The following is a 21,588-nucleotide window of genomic DNA, read 5'->3' on the forward strand; positions in this document are numbered from 1 at the left end:
CCTGGGTTTGTTTTGTTTTGCTTTAAGTAGAACCAATGATGGTCCCATCTCTTTGCAGGAAATTGGGTTCAGTGAGGGGCCGCTGCAGCCACACACAGTCCTTAAGTGGCAGTCCATTTCTAACTCAGAGCCTCTAGCCATCACACTAATCCTGGCAATATGAGAGTGAGACAGCCAGATCAAAGCCCATTTAGAGAAAAAAAGAAAATAATTCCAAACTGCTCCTTTGATGTCCCATTAGGCCATTAATATACATCACATCTGTTTAATTTAAAACTTCTGCCCAGTGCTGGTATGAGCTAATTGCACACCTCTCAAGACCCAGCATTAAGTTACTATGTGCTTGAATGGGAAACATGATTTGTGTGGTAGTTAATGATGGGGTTTAGAGTCAAGTCCACAGTCATGCATTCTCTATTCTCTCCACCAGCCTGACTGCATGCTCCTCATAAATAACATTTTCAGTGGATGAGGGGACCGTAAATCTGTCCAGAGGCGGGACACCCTGTTCTACTCTCTTCCTGGACACTACCTTTTAATTCACTAGAGGATAATGAGAAGTTGGAAAGTAAGTATCTTCTCTCTCAGTGGCCTATAGTCATTTCTGTCCTGCCTTATTCTGTGTTACGGAAGAGATGGGAGGTTGTTAGGTTTTTGACAATATCTCTAACATACAACCATCATTTAGAATATCATTTCTATTCATATTCCAGGCATTTTAGAGCATGGTCCTGTTTTTTGATTATAGAATGTTTTATTTTAGAGATTTATCAAGCTTTGTGCAAAAACTGGAGGAGCTGAAATAATGGGGAAAAAAGTAAAGAAGACACAAAGCTTTAAAATTATATAAAATGGCCGGGCGCAGTGGCTCATGCCTGTAATCCCAGCACTTTGGGAGGCCGAGGCGGGTGGATCAAGAGGTCAGGAGATCGAGACCATCCTGGCTAACACAGTGAAACCCCGTGTTTACTAAAAATACAAAAAATTAGCCAGGCGTGGTGGTGGGCGCCTGTAGTCCCAGCTACTCGGGAGGCTGAGGCAGGAGAATGGTGTGAACCCAGGAGACAGAGCTTGCAGTGAGCCGAGATCAAGCCACTGCACACCAGCCTGGGCGACAGAGTGAGACTCCATCTCAAAATAATAAAAATAAAATAATATAAAATATGCTGGGTGCAGTGGCTCACGCCTGTAATCCCAACACTTGGGGAGGCCGAGGCAGGTGGATCACTCGAGGTCAGGAGTTCAAGACCAGCCTAGCCAACATGGCGAAACCCTGTCTCTACTAAAAACACAAAAATGATCTGGGTGTGGTAGTGTGCACCTGTAGTCCCAGCTACTCCAGAGGCTGAGGCAGGAGAATCGCTTGAACCCGGGAGGTGGAGGTTGCAGTGAGTCGAGATCACACCACTGCACTCCAGCCTGAGCAACAAAGCGAGACTCTGTCTCAAAAAAAAAAACAAAGTATATAAAATAGCATCATCAACTCTGTTTAACTTTAGCTAATGTGGGAAATGCCATATCAGCATTAGCAGATTTTAGCAGAAAATGGCTCCTGCCTTTGCCTCCTGTCTTTACAGTACAGCAGGAGAAGCAGGTCTGTATTCATGGAAAGAAACTGGAAGAAGTAACTGCAGGTGCTAGGGAGGGAATGGAGCCATGTGAACAGGTGAGTCGGGGTACAGGTGCAGAATGGGAGAGACTAGTGTGCATGTATGTCCATGGATTAGCACTCTCAGGAAAGGGACCCCTAATATGAGAAAGCCAGCATGGTCTAAAACCATGGGCCTCGTGAACAATACTTGGGTATCTCTAGACAAATTTTTTTTAAAAGAAAGAAAAAGTTCATAAGGGTTTAGCACTCTTCTTGCGGTCCTGAAGTGCAGCCTAGGAAGAAAGGCAACCTTTAAAAGGGAATGTAGGCTGGACACAGTGGCTCATGCCTGTAATCCTAGCACTTTGAGAGGCCAAGGTGGGCAAATCACTTAAGGAGTTCAAGACCAGCTTGGCCAACATGGCGAAACCCCGTCTCTACCGAAAATACAAAAATTAGCCGGGTGTGGTGGTGTGCACCTGTAGTCCCTGCTACTCTCGGGAGGCTGAGGCACGAGAATCGCTTGAACCTGGGAGGCGGAAGTTGCAGTGAGCTAAGAGGGTGCCACTGCACTCCAGCCTGGGTGACAGAGTGAGACTCTGTCTCAGGAAAAAAAAAAAAAAAAGGGAATGTAAGTAAGCCTTAGTTGTGCCTGTTTTAGAGTTAGCCTACCTGGGAGACAGATGGCGGGTGGAGGGAAGAACCAGAATGATAAAGACCATACATTACACAAGTCAATGTTAGCTAGTTTTCCTCAAGGTCAGTGAACGCTGACTAATGTCAACATATTAGGTTAGAGAGTATCTTAAACTTCCACCAAACAATCCTGAAAAAACGAAAGGGAATATATATCCTGAGGGTGAGAGGGCTGTTGGAGAGATGATGCTGGCACTGCAAACAAAAATTTCTTTAGAATTTGCTGTTTGATCTTAAAAATTCATATACATGTTGCATTCTGTTTGGTTTTTAATATAAAATATTTTAGGCTAATCACCATTCAGCAAAATTGATTCTCCAAAAAAACTGCATCCCTGTTAGTCTATGATTTTGCAAAGTCTATAGGCCATTGCTATGGGAATCTCTGAGGGGGCTGTACTGTCTGTCATTTGAGAAGCACATGAAAAGCAATTAGCTCATTTCCAAATGTTGTATATGAAAATATTGTGACTTTTGTAAAGCGTATTCAATCATTTAGCCAAATATTTTAATAGCCTGAAGAATCCCAGGGAATATAAAGTTAAACTTTGGCCTGTTCTGTTCTCAGTTGAGCAGATGAAGCTTTGCATGACTCCTTTCCTGCAGGAGATGCTTAGTTAAATCAGAGGCATTGCTCATTCTAAAAATTTGATCCAAATCTAGAGTTAGTGTTAAATGACACCATATGTTTCCTTTGGTTAAATAAGGTCAATAAATCATGTTCCTTTTTGTTTCAGAAAACTGAGATATTTTAGTCTATTCATGTTGAAAGAACACTAATTGTGAATTTAAAAAACATGAAGGGGTTGTGGGGCTCTAAAAAACATGGAGGGGGAGCGTGGCCCTAAGTCTGTACTTGGCCTGATGGTCTTATCTTCAGAATTCTGGGGTATATGAGGTATTACTATAAAGATACAGGTCTGCTTCAAAAAACATATATCTTATTTTATTTTATTTTTTAGAGATAGGGGCTCTGCCGGGTGCAGTAGCTTATGCCTGTAATCCCAGCACTTTGGGAGGCCGAGGCGGGCGGATCACGAGGTCAGGAGATCGAGACCATCCTGGCTAACACGGTGAAACCCCATCTCTAGTAAAAAATACAAAAAGTTAGCCGGGCGTGGTGGCGGACGCCTGTAGTCCCAGCTACTGGGGAGGCTGAGGCAGGAGAATGGCGTCAACCCGGAAGGCAGAGCTTACAGTAAGCCGAGATCGCGCCACTGTACTCCAGCCTGAGCGACAGAGCAAGACTCTGTCTCAAAAAAAAAAAAAAACAGATAGGGGCTCCCTGTGTTGCCCAGACTGGTCTCGAACTCCTGGGCTCAAGGGATCCTTCCACCTTGCCCTCCCAAAATGCTGGGATTACGGGTGTGAGCCACTGCGTCCTACCACAAGTATGCTTTGCTTTTGTTTCTTTTTTTTTTTTTTCCTTTTTTAACTTCTTATTTAAGAAAAAAAAGAGAGAGAGAGAGAGACGGGGGATCTCACTTTGTTGCCCAGGCTGGTCTCAAACTCCTGGGCTCAAGCAATGCCCACCTTGCTTTTCTTATGGCTTAAAGTAAGTAAAATAAAATGCTTTGAGAAATGATGGCATTGTTAAATAAACATATAACAAGAAAAGACAATACTCACTTGAATATACAAGTTAAAATTTAAAAATCATCAGTAACTAAATGAACATCAGAGTTAAGCACGAATTCCTTCCTTCAAAAAATGAAAAATCTCATTTTCATTTTTTGAATGAATACTCAGGCCTCTTTGATTATTATAACGATCCCAAAGTCCCTATACTACTCAATAATTATTTTGCCTGAAAATATGTGGAGGAGGAGGGGATTAATAAAGATAAAAATCTCTTAATTGAATATAAACAATTTAACTGTTCAAGAATTCCCCAAGTAAATTTTATCTACATAGTGTGGGTTAAATGTGGGGGGAAAAGGGATGGTAGATGCAAAATGCAGTTATTTGCTTCAAAAATCTATCTGTGTGAGTAGCTCCAATGTATAAAAGATCAAATGAAGAAAGTTTTACCGGCTTGTTTCCAATGCCTCCGACTTATCTGGGTGGATCTTCCCCTCTGACTCATTCTGGAACAGTCCTCCATAAGTCAAGGAGACAGTTTACAAGCTGGGGAGGTTTCCCTTCATAACGGCTGAGGGAACTTATTCTCTCCACAACCACGGTTCAATGTGTCAGGTACTGACATAAGGAAAGAATGTCTCTGACCTAAGGAATTCATAATCTAATAGGGGAGACGGACAAATAAATAGGTAAGTTTAAAAATGTCAAGTTCCCTGTCAAGGTAGAAAAGTATAGGGTGTCTTGGAGCACAGAAGAGGGTGTCCAGAAAGGCAAATGCAGATCAGATACAGAAGCAAGGCGTTGGGGTCCAAAATGCCCAGGTGGATGTCCTGGTCGGATCTCCAGAGTCCTACAGAGGACTTCCTCCACACAGGGCGGGTCAGTTTCAACCCATGGGAATGAAAGGGGGGGAAAACATGGAGAGCAGCTTCCAGCGCAGGGGGAGGAAAACATTCCCCAAGGAAATACTAGATTCCTGAAATATGTCCAGCCCTTGTGGAAAAGATGTAGTTCGGGCTGCAATTCGAGCAAACTTCGGAGAAGCTTCAAAAGCTCCGACTTGGCAATTCAACTCAAAGCGCTCTTCCAAGCTCTTCCTATTCAACTGCAACTTCTAAGGCAAAGTCATTGTTTACAGCCTGGCGGAGTTGGAAGAGTCTCCAAAAACACAACTTGCCGTGACAGTTGGAGTTTATAACCACCCTCGGACTTTAATGACAGGCAAGTCTGAGAAGCTTCCAGCACCACGGCCTGACTGACTTCTGCGGGGCTGGAGGGAACGGTGGGTCCCAGATTTGGGACCACCCTTCTGCAGTGAACACCTCCCCCACATTCTCGTTTGCCACGCCTCTAGGCCACCTGGAGCTGAAGTTTCGCTGTTTTCCACGGCATTTCCGGAATGCCAGGGCATGCCCTGTCAATCCTGCACGCCCTGCGGCCGCGCTGCTTTCTCCACCGGGGCAGCGCTGAGTAGGCGGGGCATGCGGGTGGGGCGGGGCTCCAGCCAGGGTGGGTGGGGCCTCTGCACGAACACCTGCCTGTACTTGGGCCCGGAGCTTGGATCTCTGCCCAGAGAGCTCCGGCAGCCCCAGTCATCCCCGGCAATCAGGAGGCAGCGCCGCTCGGCTGCTGCAGAGGGCGTTGCCCGACTTAGCGACAATTTTGTCCTACCTCCTCTATACACCTTGCTCAAGTGACTGGACTCTCGAGATTCAATTTCCTTATTCACAAAATGGGGTTGATTATCGTTAAATTTCACAGCTGTTTGAGGATTAAAAGAATGACGTATCTATATTGTTTATGTGCCAAGCACTGACACTTATTCATTAGTGCTCGTTTCTTTCCTTTTTCTTTCCAAATTCAGTCTGATTCAGCAAATAGCTACCGAGGGTCTACTTGTTTCCAGTCACTGGGGATTTAATGGCAAAATAACCCTCAAGAAGCTTATTGTCTAGTGGAAAAGACCAACAGGTAAACGGGCAGTGGGAAGTGCTGTGAGGGTGGAATTGCTGGGTGTTGGACAGGTAGAGGGGGCTGTGGAGGAAGAGCACGTTGCAGCTAGTTAGAGAGGTAGGATGAGAGCAAGGACAGGGAGAAGCTGGAAGTAGTACAGACCCTCTGGAAAGGTGAAGCTGGATCATGGGGCCAGATCATGAAAGAATTCCTAAATTATAAATTCTAGTGGCTACAGATTTTTATGTTGAAGCAGAGAGGAAACATGGAAGTATCTTAAGCAAGAGACTATGATGTGATTTGGATTTTAGAAAGATTCCTCTGGGTAGAGATCACATCGATGCAAGGCACAATTTAGCTCCTAAGCTCATTATTAGCAGCTTCATTTGAGGGTCACATAAAGAATTCCCCTAGGGTCTAAATAAAGTATTTGGAATTTTTTAGGTCAGGCCATGTAATTCTGAATTCTAGAAAATGACTAGAATTGGTTAGTTCTTTCTCTATAACTGGAATTGAGTTGGGTTTTAATATCCCCTCTATAAACCAGGCTTGATTTCAAACCAAATTTTATTACTCAGTTGGAAAAAGAAAACTTTTATACCTACATTAATCAACTGCCCCTTTGTAAACTTGCTTTCTCACTCACCTCCACGTGCCTAGCTTCTGGGATCAAGAAACCAGGAGGCAATGAAAAGTGTTATCAGACTTGCATTAAGACCAGCCCCTCCTTAAAGATGTTCTGGAGACAGAACTTAATCAGGTGGAGCTGGGCAGGGCTGAGGCTTCAGGCTCAGGCTCGCAGGCTGGTTTGGGGGATTAAAAGCCTAAACAAGTTAGTTGGGTTGTTCCTCTCCCATCATTTCCTGTTAGGTGATATGTGAGTTGGTTATGTTCTTATTTTAATGATTCACCCCTGAACATTGCTTCTGAAACAGCAGTTTGCAGGGTTAGCGAATAACTGTGCTGTCATCCCTATTTAAACCCAGTGAACAGTGATTTAATCTCAGATGTGCTCAGTGCAGGCTTCAGGTTCTCTCTGTCTAGTCCTATCATTGCATAGGATGGGTGACTGAGCTGGTGTGGGGATGAATTAATTGGCTCCTCCTCAGAGTTCCTCCAGGTGGGCAGGTTCTAAAAGAGTGAGTCTTGTCAGCACCAACTCCTTTTTTGTGTGTGGCAGAAGGTAGGTCTGAAATTTTGCCCTGAGTTGCTCCTAATTTGTTCAGTGATCTGGAATTGCTCCTTCCATTCTTTGAGGCTTAGTTATAAAACAAGAGTTTGATAACATGCTGGAAATTTCCTTCCAGCTCTAGGAGGGTTCTGGTCATCAGAGCAGTCAATATCAAATCCCTACATTTAAAGGTACAGCGTGAAACTATAAAGAATTATCCTCAAACGCTCCTCTGGGTCTACACCTTTGCCTGGCAAGCAGTCTCTTTGTCATTGCAAATTGATTTCTAAATGAAACTGCAAATCTTGTCAAATATACAGGATTACATCAAGCTGATGAAAGTAATAATGGAGAGAGCAAGTTCTTTGCACAAACAGGGGTCTTGCTAGGGAGATTACCTAAAAGCTGAAGAAAAAAAAAATAAACAAGAATGATGACAACCTAAGTGCTTCAAAAGAGAATGATTAGATTAGCAAAGGATTAATAGAGACATTTTGAAAAAACTTGGTGAAGCCTATTTACATTTTTATAAAAATGGCAAGTCAAACATGATGGAAAATACCTGAAAAGTGATGTCGATAAAACAGTAAATACTTGATTTATTGGAATTATAAATAATACTTGTTTTATAATTTCATTATGTTTTTCAAAATGAAATCCAAACTTTTTTCTATGAAATTTTGTTTTCCCCTTTGTGTCCATTTTAAATGGCTTTTTCGGATATCACTATTTCCTTTATTAATCTTCAATCTTGTTTCAAAAGGGATTTAAGAGGCCTAACATTCTGTGTTGAATACCAGTATATTCTAAACTCTGTTGCCAAATAAATCCACTTTTAATACCTCTGATGGTTCTCATTTTAAAAATATATTTTGCCTATTAATTGGCATTTTTTTCTTCTTCTTTTGAGATGGAGTTTCACTCTTGTCGCCCAGGCTGGAGTGCAATTGTGCGATCTTGGCTCCACCTCCTGGGTTCAAGCAATTCTCCTCCTTCAGCCTCCTGAGTAGCTGGGATTACAGGCACCCGCCAACACACGTGGCTAATTTTTGTATTTTTAGTAGAGATAGGGTTTCGCCATGTTGGCCATGCTGGTCTCAAACTCCTGACCTCAGGTGATCCGCCCTCCTTGGCCTCCCAAAGTGCTGGGATTATAGGCGTGATCCACCACGCCTGGCCGCCAGCAAATTTTTTTCTTTCATCTATCTTTTTTGTCTAGATATATATCCTCTTTTCCTTTATCAGTGACTTACAGACTTATCTTTCACAGTAATGATGAAACTAGCATATTTAGTCCTGGTGTGGTGGCCAGTGCCTGTAATCCCAGCTATTTGGGTGTTTTCAAACCACCATTTCCCCAATGACCCCAGCCAGAACTCTGAAGTTATCCTTGAGTCTTACCTCTACCTTGTCCCTTCCATCCAATCATTGTTTCGATATGTATTTATTAAGGCTCCAGTAAGTGCCAATCACTGTTTCTGTATGTGGAAGGATAGAAGGGTGAACCAGACAAAGTCTTCACCCTAACACAACTCACATTCTCTCTCATTCTAGTGAGGGACACAGTCAACCTACAAACAAGTATAGATTTTATTGTCAGATATTGGTAAGTGCTATACAGAAAATAAATAAGGGTAAGGAGATGAAGAGTGGGGGGGCTATTTTAGGAAACCTGACTATATATATTAATTTAATCTCCTAAAAGCCTCCATACCATGTCTTTCCATTCCACTGACATTATTAAGGCACTTCATCATCCCCTGTCTGGATGGCTCTAACTATCTCACGCCCTTTACTACCTTGAGTCCTAAATCATTAGACCCATATCTGATCACGTTATAGCCCTGCTCAAAATACTTCAGTGGTTCTCTATCCCACGGAGTATAAAGCCTAAACATCTCTGCCCTCTTGGCTGATAACCTTTCCTCCTATTTCACTGAACGAATAGAAGCAATCAGAAGAGAATGTTCATATCCTCCTGATACCGCGAGTACCCACCTTCCTGCATTTTTTGCCCAAATGCTCTGCTTTTCCTTGTGCTTTTAGGCATGCACTGTTCACACTCCTAAAATCAATACCTCCCCTTGTATTCTAGATCCCATCACTTCAAATGCCTAAGGATTTCACTCTATCAGTTTCCACTTTCTCTTCTGCATGATCAAATTTCCTCTCTTTACAGGAACATTTCCATCGCAGACATCTTATTTCTAGCATTATAAAATTCCTTGTTGATCCTCTTTTCCCTTGGTTACAGCCTCATTTCCCCTATCGCCAAGGCTCGAAGTTCAGTACTCTTGTCTCTTGTACACTTAGTCTCTTCCTGATATCACCCAGTCTCATGGCTTTAAACCCCGCCTACCAGTATATGCTGACATCTCCTCTTTTATCTTCAGCCTAAAACTCCCCTTTGAACTACAGACTTGTATATCTAGCTGCTCTACAAAGCCTTGTCCTCTCTTCTTTACATTTCAGTAATGATAATGCCATCTTTCCTAGATTCTGAAGCCAAAAACCTTGGAGTCGATCTTGAAGTTCTTTATTTTACGTCCAGCCCTCACATTCAAGTATTTGCTCAAATGTCATCTTCTCTGTGAGTCCTTCCTGTCTGCTGTATTTTTTAAAATTTATTTTAATTTTTTTATTTTTTTGACATGGAGTCTCACTCTGTCGCTGAAGCTGGAGGGCAGTGGTGTGATCTTGGCTTACTGCAACCTCTGCCTCCCAGGTTCAAGTGATTCTCCTGCCTCAGCTTCCTGAGTAGCTGGGACTACAGGCACATGCCACTACACCTGGCTAATTTTTGTATTTTTAGTAGAGACGGGGTTTCACTATGTTGGCCAGGCTGGTCTCGAACTCCTGACCTCTTGTGATCTGCCCACCTCGGCCTCTCAAAGTGCTGGGGTTACAGGTGTGAGCCACAAAGCCCAGCCCTGTTTGCTGTGTTTTAAATGGCAACTCTCTTCCTACAAGTACTGTCTGTCACTCTTCCCTGATTTATTCTTCTGCATAGCATTCATTTCCATCTTCCATAAACAGTGTCATGAATGTATGCCATTTCTTTGTGTATGAGATACTGTTTTTGGCTTAGTATCTTAACTAGGGAGGAGGGAAGGGTAGTTTCAGGAGCTTCTCCTAGGCTACCACATTAGTGGATAGTTCTTACCTCCCTGGCTAAGGACTCAGTGTGGGTTTCTGCTGAATATGTCTATTCTAGTAACACATTTAGGGAGTAGGGAAATGGACATTGGAATGTCCACTGGAATGCAGAGCCATTCCATTTATTAATTAAGTTAAACTCCATTTATTATTTTATTGTCATATGCTTCACTCTACAAGGAGACTCATGATATTGCTTTGAGTCTTTGAGTATCAATTTCAAATCAGATTGGCATCCAGTGGTTCTTGAAATGCCCCTTCTCCAGTGTGCAGCTATTTGAGTACATGGCCACTGGTCTCTTGGGCTGGGAGAATCTTTACCATATATACTTGCCATGGTGTTTCAGGGTCCTTCCTCTTGGAGACATACCCTCTCTTTTAGTCAGTGGGTTCCAAAGTTGAAAAACTGGCTCAAGGTTCAGAAATGGAGCCGGGCATGGTGGCTCACGCCTCTAATCCCAGCACTTTGGGAGGCTGAGGAGGGTGGATGACCTGAGGTCAGGAGTTCAAGACCAGCCTGGCCAACATGGTGAAACCCTGTCTCTCCTAAAAATACAAAAATTAGCCAGGTGTGGTGGCACACACCTGTAATCCCAGCTACTCAGGGGTCTGAGGCAGGAGAATCACTTGAACCTGGGAGGCGGAGGTTGCAGTGAGTCAAGATCATACCACTGCACTCCAGCCTGGGAAACAGAGCGAGACTCCATCTCAGGAAAAAAAAAGTTCAGAAACTTGGAAAAGCATTTTGACTTTTTATTGAGCTAACTGCTGTCAGCCTCCTGTTTATCCATCTTTGATTTCTTTGGATTGTATAGCTTGAGTTCCCCCTTGTTGGCTGCCTGTGTGGAGGCTGAGTTCTGTTAATTATCTCCATAACTGTTTGGGTCAATCTTCCCTGGCTGCCCCTCTGATGATGCCATTCATTATTGTAATTGCATATACCCACCTTTTAATAGCTAAGCTCTTCCACTTGGCCTCTGCTTTAGGGTCCTAAAACCCTGTGGCTGTTAATCACCTCTATTCTGTAATGATGCCTCCTGATAGCAGCCCTGGCCTAGAGAGAAAAGCCACTACTGATCTTGTTGGTGATTGTCTTAATCCATTTGTGCTGCTACAAAAAAATACCTAAGACTGGATAATTTATAAAAAACAGACATTTATTTCTCACAGTTCTGGAGGCTGGGAAGTCCAAGATCAAGCTGCCAACAGATTTGGTGTCTGGTGAGGCTGCACACTCCAGAGGGGCAGAACGCTGTGACCTCACATGGCAGAACTGAAGAGCAACCTAAGGTAACGCTGTGTGAAGCCTCTTTCATTAGAGACTTAATCCCATTCATGAGGGAGGAGCCCTCATGGCCTAATCACCTCTTAAAGGCCTCACTGCTTAACACTGCCACATTGGCAACACTAGAACTCTGGAGGGGACACATTCAAACCATGGCAGCGATACTGACACCACTCTCATCAGCACATTCTTTGTTGCTTTGGAAATTGATATATTTATTGGGTAAAAGGCCCTGCCATGGAACATAGTCCTCTGATGGTTTTTTTTTTTTTTTTCTGGCCTTATATCATTACTTGCAGGCTCATTTCTCTGAGCTTTTTTTTTTTTTTTTTTTTTTTTTGAGACAGAGTTTTGCTGTGTCACCCAGGCTGGAGTGCAGTGGTGCAATCTCGGCTCACTGCAGCCTCTGCCTCCTGGGTTCAAGTGATTCTCATGCCTCAGCCTCCCGAGTAGCTGGAACTACAGGTGTGCACCACCATACCTGGCTAATTTTTGTATTTTTGGTAGAGATGGGGTTTCACCATCTTGGCCAGGCTGGTCTCAAACTCCTAGCCTCCAGTGATCTGCCCGCTTCTGCCTCCCAAAGTGCTGGAATTACAGGTATGAGCCACTGGACCAGGCCTCTCTGAGCCTTTTAATACCTTCTGCTTTCCAGCATGTCCACCTCACTTAGTGTGGGCTTTCACTTTTCCCTGCTTCTAGGACCCATCCTAGCAGCCTGTCTGCAACACTTCTGGGGGTCTTTTCCAGGTATTAAATGCTATATTCTGCTCTGAGTTGATAAACTCTAACTTTCCCTTATCCACTATCCTTTCCCTTATCCTTTCATGTTTCACTCTCCTTAGTCTAATTCCACGCATAGTCTCCTGGCTACTGCCAGTACTTGCTGGCTGGGACCTGCAGCCTCTTTGTATCAGTTCCTTTCCTTCCTTATCAGACCCGGCATGACCCCATCTGGGTTATATTGTGACTTAACCTAGTTATTAGCCTTGGGGCCAGCAGGTTCTGTGGGGACTGATCTTGTGGTGGGACAGGGTATTTTGCAGTATGTAAAAATCCCTATTAATTGCCATATGATTGAGCCAAGATCTATCTTCCAGAGAAAACTGAAGTTTTAAACTATAAGCAGTGTATATAATTAAAGTTCCCTGTCCTAAGACTGTTTTGTGCACTGATGACATTTTTTTCCTTTTTTAAACCTAAAGGCAATGGAAGACTTTTCTTTCAAGTAGTTGCCTCTGCTTTTACCTGTTTCTACCTGATTTTCATTTCCCATGTCATCAGCCATTTGTTCTCACAGTAGGAATGTTGCATGTATGAATGTTTCCTGTCATCATATACTTTTTATTATTTACGAGAAATGGATAGCTTGTGGACTTATTGGCAGGCAAGGAAAACATTGTGAAAGTTGATCTCTGTTGCTACTAACTAGCAAATTGGTAGTAATCACTTAATAGGAGTGGAAAAGTACAAATTGTATTTGATGCAGCAAAGTGGTAATTTCTTCAGATACACAACATCACTTGTTTGTCCTTATTGTGAAGTTAACTGAGACTGGCACCCACATTGCTTTAAGCCCTGGCTCACCATACCACATCCCTCAGCACAGCCAGTTCCAAACTACAAATGGGCTATGTTCCAAAAACGTGGTTGAAAATCAGTTTAAGACTCAAATCACTTTTTCCATGGAAACGATGTAATAAGTAAAAGTCCAGTCAACTGGCTGGTTCCCCCAAAGTCTATTTAGCACACAACATGGCTGAAATTGAGCTGGCGGGAGTAGTATTCTACATGGCCTCCTCCTCTGCCTGCACCCCTAATCTCATCTGCTCTCCACGCAGCAGCTGCCAGTGATTTTTCTAAAGTATAAGCCTCATCATATGACTCAGTGCTTAAAATGCATCCCAGAGCCCTACATCAAATCAATTCTCAATTCTATGCCCTGAACACTTCTCTAATCTTAATGTTTTTCTCCATTCCCATTGCTGTGATCTTAACATAGGCTGTGATCTATTCTTACCTAGACTATGAGAATAGTCTCCTAACAGTTCTCCCTATGTCTAATCACATCACCTTCCAATGTGTCCATCATGCTGCTGCCAAACTCTGGAACTTGTCAGGCATGACCTCTCCGTCCTGTCACAACCCACTTTTAGAGCCTCATTTGCTTCCACACCGACTCACATACTTCGGCACATTGTGTTTTCTTTACTTGGTATTTCCTGAGAAATTCCTGATCAAAGCCATGTGTCAGCTTCTCTGGGAAGTCTTTCCCTACAGCCAGAAAGAGGAAGTCACTCATTCCCCACTGCTTCCACAGCACTGTCAATATTGCCCACCATGTGCTAGGTGCGACGGATAATCAATGGGAATATCAAGGAGACAAATTCCCACCGCCTGCTCTCAAGGAGCTCACCATAGACAGAAAAAGAAATCGCTAATTAGAAACCATTGTGAGGGCTGCGCATGGTGGCTCACACCTGTAATCCTGGCACTTTGGGAGGTTGAGGCAGGTGGATCACCTGAGGTCAGGAGTTCAAGACCAGCCTGGCCAACATGGCGAAACCCTGTGTCTACTAAAAATATAAAAAGTTAGCAGGGCATGGTGGTGGGTGCCTGTAATCTCAGCTACTCTGGAGGCTGAGGCAGGAGAATCGCTTGAACCTGGGAAGTGGAGGTTGCAGTGAGCCAAGATCACACCACTACACTCCAGCCTGGCTGACAGAGTGAGACTGTCTAAAAAAAAAAAAAAAAAGAAAAAGAAAAAGAAAAAAAAGAAAAAGAAACCATTGTGAGAAATATGGTAGATGGGCGTGGCCGGGCGCAGTGGCTTATGCCTGTAATCCCAGCACTTTGGGAGGCCGAGGCGGGCGGATCACGAGGTCAGGAGATCGAGACAATCCTGGCTAACACGGTGAAACCCCGTCTCTACTAAAAATACAAAAAATTAGCCGGGCATGGTGGCGGGCACCTGTGGTCCCAGCTACTCAGGAGGCTGAGGCAGGAGAATGGCGTGAACCCGGGAGGCGGAGCTTGCAGTGAGCCGAGATCGCGCCACTGTACTCCAGCCTGGGCGACAGAGCGAGACTCCACCTCAAAAACAAAAACAAAACAAAAAAAAAGGATAGGCGTGTCTTGAGTGCGGCAGATCCAAGGACTTTTACTTACCTAAGGGACCCGCAGTCATTAAAGAGGTGGTGGTGATTTGAGTTGACTTGTGAAGGATGACCAGAGCTTCATGGAGTATTCCAAGGGAAAGGCCTTACAAGTAGAGAGATGAGTAGTCAGCTCTCCACATCCATGAGTTATGCATCTGTGGATTCAACCACTTGCATATGGAAAATATTTGGAAAAAAAATCATATCTGTACTGAACATGTACAGACTTTTTTCTCATTCTTTTTTTTTTTTTTGACAGAGTCTTGGTCTGTTGCCCAGGCTGGAGTGCAGTTTGCCTCCTGGGTTCAAGCAATTCTCCTGCCTCAGCTTCCCGAGTAGGTGGGATTATAGGTATGTGCTACCATGCCTGGCTAATTTTTGTATTTCTAGTAGAGACGGGGTTTCACCATGTTGGCCAGGCTGGTCTCGAACTCCTGACCTCAAGTGATTCACCTGCCTTGGCCTCCGAAAGTGCTGGGTTTACTGGCGTGAGCCACTGCGCCTGGCCTTTCTTTTTATTATTTTTTAAACAATAGTATAGCAGCAATTTACATAGTATTTAAATTGTAGTATGTATTATAAGTAATCTAGAAATGGTTTAAAGTATACAAGAGAGGCCAGGCATGGTGGCTCACGCCTGTAATCTCAGCACTTTGGGAGGCTGAGGCAAGCAGTCGTGGTGATGCACACCTGCAGTCACAGCTACTTGGGAGGCTGAGGCACGAGAATCACTTGAACCCAGGAGCAGAGGTTGCAGTGAGCTGAGATCATGCCACTGCACTCCAGCCTGCGTGACAGAGTGAGACCCTGTCTCAAAAACAAACAAACAAAAGTATGCAAGAGGATGTATGTAGGTTATATGCAAATATTACACCATTTTATATCAGGGACTTGAGCATCCTTGGATTTTGGTATCTGCAGAGGGTCCTGAAACCCCGATGGATACCAAGAGACAACTGTATTTGCAAAGGCATAAAGGCTTGGGAAGGTTTGGCATATTTGGAGAATTAAAAATAATTTTGTATGGCTGTAGGACAAGGTGTGTATGATAAAGCAGTGGGAACCAGGCAAAGAAGATCATTAAAGCCCTTACCAGCCAAGGTATGAAGTTTCCATTTTATTTTATACAAATGTCTATTACAGAGTTAAGGATTCCAGGTCATTCCATCTTCATATCACCTCTGATACCTAACATCATGCCTGGAACACAGTAGGCCTCCTCTTTACACTTTCTAAACTGATTTAAAATAGTTTTTGTCATCTCTAAGTGATAAAATCTGGGGAAATAGAGTTAAAACTAAAGTTAAATCTAATACATTTGCAAACAAATTTCTTATTTCCATGTGTTTGCTTTCATTATTTTAATACCCAAACAAACCCAGATATACAAGAAAATGAGCTATTACTTTTTCACTTTAATTTTATGTTTCTCCATGGTGTAAACATTTTAAAAATCAACTTCATATACTTTTCCAATTTAAAAAAGCTTATGTTTTGTTAATAAAGAAAATAGAAGCCTAAATATTGAAGGTAAAAAGTGATTTCCTCATTAATTTACATTCCCTCTGAGATTTATTGCACAGTAAATTAGTTAATTGCAAACCTTCTAACAATGTTTTACTCCATTATAGATTACTTTGGAAAAACAAATTTGATTTTTCCCTCTTGAACAATGAGTGGTTTATTTTAAAGTAGGTGAAAGGTAATGTGAAGGAAAAAAAAACCCAGCTTCACAGATGTATAGTTTAAAGTTTGCCAAGTACTTAGCAAAGGGTTACACTAACTTCAAACGGTTGGAAAGTATAATGTAATGTGAGAACTCGAAGGTCTTGTTTCTCTTTCAGCTCCCATTCTCACTCAGTCCCCTGCAAACCATCGGCATAAAGAGCAAAGTTTCAGAGATCACATCCTCTAGTGGAGAGCAAATGAACAAAAGGGGAAAGAGAGACGCGATGAATTGCACGTGCGCTATTATATTTGCAAGCGGGTTACATTGTCCTTGGATAAGAATTTTATATTCCCCGTGAGTCGGAGACTCTGTGCTCTGAATTATGTTGCTCAATTCAAGCGATGATCCAAGGCCAATGACAGTATACCAAGCTATCATTTCTTGGCAGGTCGAATAGTCATGTGTATATTTTATGTTCCTTATAAAAGTTAGGCGATATAAATATTGGTGATATGAAAGTTGATATTTTACATAAATTGTCAATTGCTAGTCAAACACGTCAAGGTTTTTTCTTTATGTGGTGGGGCTTTAAAATCTCAGCAGGGAGTTCTTTGAGTTTGAAGTGTCTCCCCTAAGCTTTCCATTTCAGACACTGTTTTTTTCCAAAACAGGTCTCAGTGTGTTGGTGTTTCCAAAGTGCAGATGATTCCTGTTCTTATTTTGTGGCTGTTCTTGCAGAATGCTATCAGCCCCAGATCTAGGGTAGAGGACAGGCTTGATTGGAGCCTTTGCCTGTTACAATGCATGATTCCACCACAGGCCAGCTGTGACCATTCCGCCCAGTGACAGCGTGGTTGTCTTTCCTCATAGGTGAAGGAGGTGACTTCTTATGGGACATGATTTCTGAAGCAGAAGTTTACCTGAGGTTCCTGGAAGAAATGTTTTCCCCACCTGTTGGCTCCCTGAGTATTAACATGCCAGATGCAAAGCTTCATTCATTCTATTAAAATGCAAATGAGCCCAACAGTGTAGTAAAACAGTTTGCTGCTAGAAGTTATTTACAATATTCTAAGAGTAACGCTCTTATTCACCCTAAGCACAGGTTTTAATAAAAAGTGGAAGGGATCGCAAGGGTATTGAGATCTCAGCAAGAGAAGGAAAGGGAAAAGGTTGTTTAAAAACAACATTAATAGAAGACATACCGTATAGAGAGAAAAACGCAGACTGTGCATGTTCAAGATAACTTTCATTACAATTTTGCCTAAGCCAGGGTGAATGCAAATGTTTCAGTTTTAACAGACTGGATCATTCATTCAAAAAGCATTTATTGAGTGCCTTCTCAAAAAAGAATGATAATTAGATTTTTTAAGTTATAAAGAAAATATAAAACCAAAACTGGAGAAATATACGCCAACATTTTTCCAATGGTTCCGTTGTCAAAGTAGAATTAGAATGTAAGTGCAGAGTTAAATTCCATTGTCTATCAAGAAGTAATTGTAAAGGAGCTATGTCTAAAAATGTATCTTTTCAGTGATTTTTGTTCTGAACAATCTTCTGCCTCAAATACATTTTGGATCTATGATTTGCAACCACTTTTTTTTGGTGGGTCAAGATACCAGCACTGTAACTTTAAGAAGTTCATCATTAGCATGCATTTAAAAAAATGTACCAAGTTAAGAAAAAAATTGAATAAATGTACATCTGTCTAAAGCAGGGGTTAGCAGAGTACAGCCTGCAGGTCAAATCCAGTCTACTGCCTGTTTTGTTTTTGTTTTTGTTTTTGTTTTTGACTAGAATGTTAAGATACATTTTTAAATGGCTGCAAAAAAAAAAAATCAAAAGGATAACATTTCATGACATGTTAAAAATTGTCTTCAATTCAAATTTCAGGGGCTGGGTGTGGTGGCTCACACCTGTAATCCCAGTACTTTGGGAGGCCGAGGTGTGTGGATCACCTGAGGTCAGAAGTTCAAGACCAGCCTGGCCAACATGGCAAAATCCCGTCTCCACTAAAAATACAGAAAATTAGCAAGGCCGTGTGCAGTGGCTCACGCCTATAATCCCAGCACTTTGGGAGGCCAAGGAGGGTGGATCATGAGGTCAGGAGTTCGAGACTAGCCTGGCCAACATAGTGAAACTACATCTCTGATACAAACACAAAAATTAGCTGGGCATGATGGCTCACGCCTGTAGTCCCAGCTACTCAGGAGGCTGAGGCAGGAGAATTGCTTGAACCTGGGAGGTGGAAGTTGTGGTTAGCCGAGATCGCACCACTGCACTCCAGACTGGACAACAGAGCAAGACTCCATCTCAAAAACAAAACAAAACAAAAACAATAAAAACAAATCAACAAATCCTGAAACCCTTCTTCCTAGCATTCCCTATCTACATTTTCTGCATTATTTAGCTTTATAGTATTTATCATTAACACAGCCTACATTTTACATATTTTTAAAAAATTGTATATCATTCCTTATTAGAATATTAATTAAATCCCAGGGATTTTTGTCTTTGTTTACTGTTGTATGCTGGAACCTAGAAGAGCATATGACTCCTATATATTGTAGTCGGTACTTGTTTGTTGTGTGTGTTAGTGGCTGAGCCAGGGCTTGTTGCAGACCTGCTTCCATGGTCAGGGAAGCTGGCAAGGTAATGGAATGAATGTGAGACTTTAACATCATATGTGTTTGGGTTCAGATTCTAATCCCAGCCTTTAGTAACTGTTGCAATTTGGAGTAGATTTCACCCAGATATCGGTGATATAAACAAGGAAAATGTTTATTCTTATTATTCTTTTGTGATAAAGAGGTCCAGCATTGATAGAGCAACTCCACAGTCATCAGGGACCCAAGCTTGTTCCACACCCCTTAGTATATGGTTTCCAATGGCCAGGCATGGTGGCTCACGCCTGTAATCCCAGCAGTGGGAGGCTGAGGCTAGAGGATTGCTTGAGCCTGGGAGTTCAGGACCAGCCTGGACAACATAGCAAGACCCCATCTCTACAAAATTAAAAAGAAAATTAGGCCGGGCACATTGGCTCACACCTGTAATCCCAGCACTTTGGGAGGCTGAGGCAGGTGGATCACCTGAGGTCAGGAGTTCGAGACCAGCCTGGCCAACATGGTGAAAACCTGTCTCTACTGAAAATATGAAAAATTAGCTGGGCTTGGTGACGGGCACCTGTAATCCCAGCTACTTGGGAGGCTGAGGCAGAATAACCGTTTGAACCTGGGAGGCGGAGGTTGCAGTGAGCCGAGATCGCGCCATTGCTCAAGAGTGAAACTCCGTCTCAAAAAAAAAAAAAAGAAAAAAAGTAGCCAGTAGTGATGACGCAAGCCTGTAGTCCTAGGTACTCGGAAGGCTCAGGTGGGGGATTGCCTGAGCCCAGGTGGTCAAAGCTGCAGTGAGCTGTGATCATGCCACTGCACTCCAGCCTGGATGACAGTGAGACCTTGTATGAAAAAAAAATAGAATATGGTTTCCATTCTCAAGTTTTTTCCTGACTATGGGAGCTCAGTCATGATGTCTGTGTTGGGGTGGGAGAAAAAACTCAGTTTCCTCTATTTAGTCTTCCCAGTGACTTCTGCTTCTCTCTCAGTGACTATGAGTAGGCTGAAAAATGTAGTAATTAGGGTGAGCATATTGCCAACCCAAATAAAACTTTTCTCTGTTGGTAAGAAAAAAGGAAAGGGTGGCTATTAATAGGTAGATGACTAGTAGGCACTGACATAGTAGCTGCCTAACTTGGGCAAATTACTTAATGATATCTACCTTGTGGATTGTATTAGATTTCCAGGGCTGCCATGGCAAATTACTACAAATTGCGTAGTTTAAAATAATAGAAATTTATTCTCTCACAGTTTAGGAGGCCAGAAATCCAAAATCAAGGAATCAGCTTGGTTGCTTCCTTGCCAGAGGCTCTGAGAGAGAAACCACTCCAGGCCTCTCTGGGTCTCTAGGGGTTTCTGGCAGTCCTTGACCTTCCTTAGCTCATAGGCCCTTCACTCCAATCTGCCTCATCTTCTCTGTGTCTCTGTGTGTTCTTCTGTCTCTTATAGTGACAATTTCCTTGGAGTTGAGGCCCACCCCCCTCCAGTATGATCTCTCCATTCTTACCTTAATCGCATCTGCAATAACCCTATTTCCAAACACAGTCACATGCTGCGATTCCAGGTAGACGTGACTTTCTGTGGGATACTATTCAGCGTACTACATAGAGTTATTATGATAATCAAAGATTCTGGGTATAAAGTGCTGGCATAGTCTGTCATATGAGGAAAATAGATCTTTTTTTACTCAGAAATCAGTATGAAACTACATGTAAATCACAAAACTCTTTTTGGAAGTTATAGCATGAAATGGGGATACCTTTTTCTGCCTTTTTATACTTGTTTATATGTAGCTTCTTGCACATATCATAGGCATTTAGTTCCATTAACTGAGTGAAGCCTGAGGATTACCTTTGGAGAAAAGTAGGTGTTGGACTTAAGCAACATCATTCATCTGTACCGTGAGGAGGAATGTTAGGAAAATGAGTCAAAGTGCATGTGGCAGGTGCATTTTGGGTTGCACGCCCTGCTCAGAGTCATTCCTCCCTTTCTAGGAACTGCCAGCAGCTGGGATACTCCTAGCAGACTGCCCAGAGGCCATAGGTGATTGGTCTATGGATGAATCCTCATCCTGGCCTATCAGATCAATTTTTTTAAAAGAGACTGGAATTTTGAACTACAGATGTAAATAGGGGGTTACGGGGCCTAAGGCTATTTGATGCAGCCTCCTGTTTCTGCTTCCTGCTTACTCCAAGGGAAACCTACATCCTTCTGATTAATTTGTGCTTCGGGGTTTGCTGAAGCTGGCACAGGTCATTTTCTGCAACTCAGAGAGCCTTAATTTGTAAAATACTGAAGTTACAGGATAGTAAACCCAACACACAAAGAATAGTAAACAGATATATCTACTTTCATATGTTTTCTATTTAATTTTTTTGATCTTGAAATCGTTGACTAATGGCACAAACCTGATTTTAAAGCAACCTTTCATTTTATGGATAAACATTAGCACATTAAAATGTGCCAGTAGGGGACTAGATGTGGTGGCTCACGCCTGTAATCCCAGCACTTTGGGAGGCCAAGGCGGGCGGATCATTTGAGGTCAGGAGTTGGAGACCAGCCTGGCCAACATGGTGAAATCGCATCTCTACTAAAAATACAAAAATTAGCCAGGCGTGGTGGTGCAGGCCTATAGTCCCAGCTAATTGGGAGGCTGAGGCAGGAGAATTGCTTAAACCGAGGAGGCGGAGGTTGCAATGAGCTAAGATTGTATCACTGT

At 42.7% G+C, this 21,588-nt stretch overlaps 1 long non-coding RNA gene across 2 annotated transcripts, besides 1 other annotated feature; it reads left to right on the forward strand.

Moving 5' to 3' along the window:
- The first annotated feature begins 443 nt into the window (after positions 1-443).
- LOC105369460 (uncharacterized) lies at positions 444-17,842 on the forward strand. 2 transcript variants are annotated; one of them, XR_007062863.1, is made up of 5 exons: positions 444-568; positions 5,733-5,839; positions 11,319-11,438; positions 15,625-15,692; positions 16,436-17,842. It is a non-coding gene; the product is annotated as an uncharacterized LOC105369460 (long non-coding RNA). The 2 variants fall into 2 exon arrangements; XR_007062862.1 differs by lacking the exons at positions 444-568; positions 5,733-5,839 and adding an exon at positions 9,208-9,582 and having other exon boundaries at positions 15,625-17,842.
- Positions 5,352-5,461: a silencer, noted in NCBI's record as "silent region_3860". NCBI's record gives its function as "represses an Ori minimal core promoter by ATAC-STARR-seq in GM12878 lymphoblastoid cells {active_cell/tissue: GM12878}" and the evidence as "EXISTENCE:reporter gene assay evidence [ECO:0000049][PMID:35858748]".
- Positions 17,843-21,588: the final 3,746 nt, after the last annotated feature.

The sequence above is a fragment of the Homo sapiens genome, chromosome 11, assembly GCF_000001405.40.
Source record: "Homo sapiens chromosome 11, GRCh38.p14 Primary Assembly".
Classification (NCBI taxonomy): domain Eukaryota; kingdom Metazoa; phylum Chordata; class Mammalia; order Primates; family Hominidae; genus Homo; species Homo sapiens.